General features: G+C 48.7%; 1 protein-coding gene across 10 annotated transcripts in view, besides 1 other annotated feature; it reads left to right on the top strand.

The window, feature by feature from the left end:
* COL22A1 (collagen type XXII alpha 1 chain) overlaps positions 1,036–6,567 on the top strand; it is a 325,807-nt gene continuing 320,275 nt past the window's right edge. For all 10 annotated transcript variants that reach the window (XR_001745487.2, XM_017013150.3, XM_011516886.4 and 7 more), the window contains exon 1: positions 1,036–1,458. The gene's annotated coding sequence lies outside the window, so the exon portion shown is untranslated. The remainder of the gene's footprint in view (positions 1,459–6,567) is intronic.
* Positions 1,090–1,935: an enhancer, noted in NCBI's record as "H3K27ac-H3K4me1 hESC enhancer chr8:139925385-139926230 (GRCh37/hg19 assembly coordinates)". NCBI's record gives its function as "activates a minimal SCP1, AML or CMV promoter by ChIP-STARR-seq in naive and primed H9 embryonic stem cells {active_cell/tissue: H9 hESC(naive and primed)}" and the evidence as "EXISTENCE:reporter gene assay evidence [ECO:0000049][PMID:30033119]".

Genomic DNA, 6,567 nt, shown 5'->3' with positions numbered 1-6,567 from the left:
GGAAAACAAGACCGGAGAGGGAGGAAGCAGCTGGATTTTTGAGCTCCCTGGGTCACAGAGGAGCCCGATACTGCCTGTTTATGAAATCGTTGCTACCCAGCAGGCAACCAAATAAAGACACCCCAGAGTTTAGGAGACAGATTGGGAGCTGGGGGTGGGGGAGGTCACACAGATTAAACCATGTTCTCATCTAGTTCAAAATACTCCTGCCTGGCCCATTTTTAGGAACAGTGCTCAGAAAGAAAAAGTAGAAGGGTGCCCCGGGCCTGCACCTGTTCATGGTCTGCCTTTGGGGGCTGGAAAGCCCATTAGCCAGGCGAGTGTCCTCATCAGGCCAACGTGGGCCCATATCCCTGCTCTGCTGGGGGCGCTGGCAGACTATAAAGGCTCTCTCCGAGGCTTCACTGTCCTCATCCCAAAAAGAAGGACGCGATGCCCCTGTCCTCAGAGCTGAAGTCACAGCCAGTGAACAGGGCTGCCTGTAGGTGGAGCCCCTGGCACAGAGGGGTGCGCGTTACCTGCTCTCACCTGCTCAGACAGGAGGGGGCCTCTCAGATCTGGAAAAAGAGCCAAGCGCGCCCCCTCCCCAGGCCCCCTGGTGGCGCCAAACTTCCCAAAGTTTCGGGCAGCTGCGGCACTAGTCGGTGGTCTATTTCAGACCCGCTGGAAAAGGGAGCAGAGTATCAGTGAAGTCTATAATTGGACAGAAAGTTGTCAGCCCCTCTTTTGGGCTTCCCAGGGCCACCTCGTTACTGCCTGGACCCTAACGCTGTCCAGTCCCCCACAGCCCTCCCGAGGTCCCTGCCCACCTTTCCCCGCAGCCCCTCGCCACTGTCCGGGGCCTCGTCGGCCTCTCTCGTTTTCTCTGGGGTCCGCCCCTGCACCTCCGGCCCCTCCCCGCTCCCAGCCCCCTGATTTTCCTCCTCCTTCGCGGCTTGGCCCCCGCCCGCTCCCGCCCCGAGCTCCTAGGCCCGCCCCCGCCCCAGCTCCTCCCCAGCCCCGCGCTCTTAGCCGGGGAATCCCAGCGCTGAGGCCAGCTTGCCCCTGGGGAGGCTCCAGACAGCTTTGTTCCTGGGCAGTGGCGGGGCTGGCCGAGGCTGCGGCGTTTCTCCCCAAGGAAGTGTCTTCTCCGCTTTCCCTGTTCTTCTGTTTCTCACACACTTTCTATCTCATTCTGTAACTTTCAAGCCTTTCCTTCTAACTGTATGTATTTAGTTACTTGTTTTCAAGCTGGTTCCCTCTCTGGCCCCCTGGCCTGGGGAAAGCCTCCACACTTACTGCGGGTCTTGTTTAGAGTCTGAGTTTGTGAGATTATTTGGGGGAGAGTGGGCGAGTGGCTGACAGGTGACCCCCAGGAGGAGGATTCCTGGGGCTGGTGTCTTCTCCCAGCTGCTGCTTCCAGTGGGCCTGGGCCCAGGACTGGACCTCCGCTGGCACCCCTGAGTGCCTCCCTGCCAGGTAAGACCCGGGTTCTCTTCTTTGCTGCAGTGCTGAAGGTCACAGACTTCAGCTGACGCCCATCTTCCCAGATGACAGTGAGGGACGAGAGGCGGGGGGTGGATGCGGGCTGGGGAGATGTTCTCTCCAAATACAGACGCGTTTCCTTCTGAAGCCTGAGCACACTTCGCTCTTTAGGGAGTGACTATAGTTGGAAGCAGATGTGTCTGTGTCTTGACTTAACTTCAGAGTAAAATAGCGGCAAATCCGTGAGAACACACCTGTTTGATTCTAGCTGAGCAGCGAGGAGCTCAGCGATGGCCGCCGAGAGTCAAATGCGAGAGCTTGTTTTCAGATTGCTATAATACTTTAAAGTAGTTGAGATGTACCAGCTCTTTAAACTTTCAAGTAAGAAGTTTGCAGTAAAAGGAGAAAAAGATGCGGGGGAAATGGAGCAGGGGGTGGGGAAAGAATAGTCTTCGTTTGGTTTTACATTTACTGTCAGGGAACTTAGCTTTCTTGATCTAAATTTAGATCTCATTTCTATTTGAGCATTTTATCCCCCCTCTCCCAGCCTTCTCTAGGTCAGAGAGGTGTTTTTGTCCTTCCCCCAATCCCTGCGTATCATGTTCTGTAGCAGACCAGAGTTTCGTGTGCCACTTTATTGAGCACGATTTGAATTAGCTGTGTTATTGGAAAATGAGTCCTCACTTCTCCCCACTCAAGGCAAGACTCAGGGATGACAGGTGGACATGCTTATCAACCATCTGCAGAAGGAGGCACCGCCTGCCGGCCTGTTCCAGAGCTGTGTGCCGGGTCCCCCTCCTCAGAACTTCATTCCATGACTTGTCATCTTCCAGAGCCCCATCCTGACACTTTTTTTTTTTTTGAGGCCGAGTTTCACTCTTGTTTCCCAGGCTGGAGTACAATGGTGCGAGGTGCAGCCTCGGCTCACTGTGACCTCTGCCTCCCGGGTTCAAGCGATTCTCCTCCTGACTCAGCCTCCTGAGTAGCTAGGATTACAGGCATGAGCTACCATGCCCGGCTAATTTTATATTTTTAGTAGAGATGCGGTTTCTCCATGTTGGTCAGACTGGTCTCCAACTCCCGACCTCAGGTGATCCGCCCACCTTGGCCTCCCAGAGTGCTGGGGTTACAGGCATGAGCCACCACGCCTGGGCCCATGCCGACACTCCTATGTCTACGTGGGTCTTTCTCACTCCTAATCTGTCTCTCATTGATGATTTCTACCAGGCAAATCATGGAAAGCTGAAGGCCACATCTTCAGGCTCCTGGTTAAGTTCAAAGGTTCCAGGAAAATTTGAAATTGCAGGGCTTCATTTTTGTTAGAGGCCTGCTGCATGGGGTACGCTGCCCAGCTGCATGCAAGTTGCAGTTGAAGGATGTGAGCTTTGCTGCTAGTCTTGTCTTCCAGTGCTAACTCTGTTGCTCTCTTTGGCTGCCCTGGGTCAAGCAGCTATCCTCAGTGAGCCTCAATTTTCTCTTTTGCTGATGGAGCTGATGGAAGAGATAGAGATAGATAACACAAGAGGCATCTGGTACGTGGTGAGCATGCAATATATCTTAGTTTGCTTCTGTTTCACACACCTGGGGAGCTTCAGCAGGAAGCACCCCCACCTCATTCTAGATTTCCTTGTCGCTGTGCTACTGAGGCACTGCGCAACTGTGGGAAATGGTCACTTTGATATTGTTGGGCCTGTCTTATTAGACAAGATGCTGCATCCAATGAGGATTTTCTTTCCTGGGGTCCAAGAGTGGCTCCCAGGGATCCATGCATCCTTTAAAACATTTGGAGCAGAAGTTTGTGTCTGGTTTTTCTGTGGTTTGGTCAAACTTTCATCAGATTCACGAAAGGTTTTATACCTACAAAATGATTAAGTAAATGGCCCCTAAACGGATGCAGTCCACAGACAGTTTTAAGGCTTTGTGTGTAGTTTCAGTTATTGCCAACATAAAATGATCAGGAGATTTCATGTTACAAATCTTAGTCTCTGGTTTCTCTTTTGGCTGGAATCCCTGCAAGGCTGTCCATGGCTGGGGTGAGGATTAGCCATCCCCTTTAGACAAGGCATGTGCCCTCTGGTCATCCGCTGTCATCTGTGTGACCTGCAGGGCCTCTGAAGACCTGGGAGCTTGCTTGCTCTGAGTTAGAAGATCAGGGTTATCTCTCTCTGATTTCATTGTAAGAGGGTCACAGATAAGTGGAAGTGCATTTAGAGGAGACAAATCAGGCTTTCCTGGGAATAGAAGTCATAGCTTATGTGGAAGGATACTACCATAGAAAGGTCTTCTAGTGCAGAGAAGACAGTGGCCCCAGCCATTTGGAGGGCTGCCCTGTAGAAGAGGCAGCTGGTCTGCTGTCTTGGTCCCCAGAGGGTCCAGCTAAAAGGATGAGTGGAGGAGCTTCACTGGATGTTGGAGTCCAGTTCAGTTGGAAGACCTTTCCAAAGACAAGAGGGATTGATTCATTAGGGAGTGAGTCCCCCACTACAGGAGGCATTCAGACAGATGGGATGGCTGTTGTAAGGCTGATCTAAACCTGGAATGCTTGAGCTAGGTAAGCTTTTAAGGTCCTTCCTAGCTTGAGATACTGCAATTACCAAGCACTTCCCTTCCAGCCTTAATAGTCTGCTGGTCCCCTCCTGCATCCCTCTCTTCCTTCGAAGGTGCTTATGATGTTTTTGATAGAGGTCAACATGGGTGGTGTGGTTACTATGGGCCAGGACCATGGACTACGTGTGTGTCATTCATATCTCAGTTTTAGAAACAAGGAAATGAAAGATGAGAGTTTGAATGATTTACCTGGGGATAGGCAGAGGGAACAAAGAGGAAGCAGGATTCAAAGCTCATTTTTGTTTCAACTAAGACCTTTTTGCACATGCTGGGAATGATGCGGGCCTTCCAAAGAAAACCAGAAAATGAGAAAGGCCCACAGGAATGTTTTAGGGTAGGAAAGTTCCCTGAGGATTTTTTTTTTCAGCCAATCCCCTATTCAAGAATTCAAGACATATTTATCAGGTTACCAGATAAAGATAACTGCAAACTCGAGGAAGACCAAGCCCTAGTAAGATGGGAAAAGTGCCATTATCCCATTTCACAGACCAGGGAACAGAGAGAGTTCTGGGAAGTGGGAATGACTTGCCGGAACTGCATTTTGAGACAGAACTGAGTCTCAAACATAGGTCTCATGAGGCACCAGGACACAGAGGGATTGACCTTTCACTCTTCCCACCTAGGATCCAGCATTTGTGTGTGCCCATGTGGTTCTGTGTGTACATGTGTATGTGTGTGTGCATATATGTGTCTGTGTGGGTGTGTATGTTGAGGGGAAGAATTGGTGTCTGAGACAACCAGCCCAAGGCCAGGTGGCCAGACCGACATCTCTTTGCACTTTGCCTGAGGCCAGCATGAGGTTTGTTGAATCAATGAGTGAGTGAATACATGGCTACATGAATGAATAATTGAATGAATGAATCATATGACATGACCATTCCTCAGCTTTCTTATTTAGTAAAGTCAGCTCCTTGCTTTGTGGTGTTACTGGAGTTTCGTTTTGTATTGCTTCTTCACATTCCTGCAAGCGGATGGACCAAGATAGGTGAACCAGTCCCTGCCTGCTGCTGCAGTGAGCATTTTTGTTTGTGACAAGATTTCCCCCATTTGGCAATGATGTATCTCAGATTATTCTTAAGGAGTGGGATTTCTGGGTCAGAGGGCATTGGTATTTTGATGGTTCTCAGGACTTATTGGTTATTAGAAGCACTCATGAGAGGCTGAAAGCAGGGCTAACATCCTGGCACAAGCAAAGGGAAGTCCTGGCAGATACCCAGAGAGTGTTTGAGGGTGGCCCTGCCAGCCCATTGTGGTTGCGAAGATGCCCTGCTGGAAGCAACTCAGAGGCCTCCTGGGACAAACTCAGCCATGCTACCTCCCTCTTGCTGTCCACTTGCCTTAACTTGTACACTCCCAGTTACTAAAACCTCACTACTAGTTAACCCTGGCTGTGTTCTGATGGGTATCTTAAATTTTTTTTTTAAGTTTGGCTTATAGTAAGTTTTTTTAAAAAAATCAGAATTGATACCATCTCTTGGTTGAAACTGTATCCTAAGGAGAAGCTTTTCCTTTGACTGCACACCGGCAGGTCCAGGCCAATTGGAGCTGGCCTCGCCTGCCCCGTGGCTGAGTTGTCAGGGGCACAGTCTGCTCTTGATGCTATAAAGACAAAAAAAGAAAAAAAAAAAAAGGCAAGTCAGCCACAAAGATAAATAAGGAAAAATTAAACAAAATCTCATTTAAAAAATTGAGTATAAAACTTCACTTATGCAAGATGAATAAGTTCTGGAGGTCTGCTCTGTAACATTGTGCCAATATGTAGCAACATTGTGTTGTAAACTTAACTCTATTAGGAGGATAGATCTCGTGTTAAGTGTTATTCCTATAATAAAACAAAATAAAACACAAGTACAAATAAAACAGCCACAAGCTTCGTTGTGATTATACATTAAGGGTGATCACATATAGTTTTGCCAAATAATTATGACTATGATAGGCCCTTTGCATCTGCAGGCTGCAGTACGTCTATCACAGGCAGCTTGTCCAGTTTCCTCATCTGGTGACTGGATTCTATTACCTTTCTCCCAGGTTCTTGCCCACCTTCTTCTTGCCCATCTCCAGGGGCAGAGGGATTGCTACCTCCTAAGGCAACCTCCAGTGCATTGTTGGATGTCTGGTTTAAAATTTTTCCTCTTACTCAAATGAAAGCACTCTCTCTGCCACTGCCATCTGTCTGATCTTATTCTATCTTTTTGGGGTACTTAGAATAAATTAGATCTTTTTGCCTATGATAGATTTTGAGCTCCGTAAAAGCAAAAATAATATGCCCCCTGACCCCATGTGAGATTGAGTGCCAATTGGTGCCAGGCGGTATGTGAGATATTATCACATAGATCCTTTCCTCCTGTGAATTAACTATGCTGTTACCCCCTTTACAGATGGACACATTGGGGCTTAGGAACATTTGGTCCCTTAGATAGTAAATGGCAGAACTGGGATTTAAACCTATGTCTTGATACAAAGCCTATGCTCTTAACAAAAATTACAGACTGCCAT

Source organism: Homo sapiens, chromosome 8 (genome assembly GCF_000001405.40).
Source record: "Homo sapiens chromosome 8, GRCh38.p14 Primary Assembly".
NCBI lineage: Eukaryota > Metazoa > Chordata > Mammalia > Primates > Hominidae > Homo > Homo sapiens.
The sequence above is the reverse complement of the archived record's forward strand: the minus strand, read 5'-3'. Positions and strand labels throughout refer to the sequence as shown.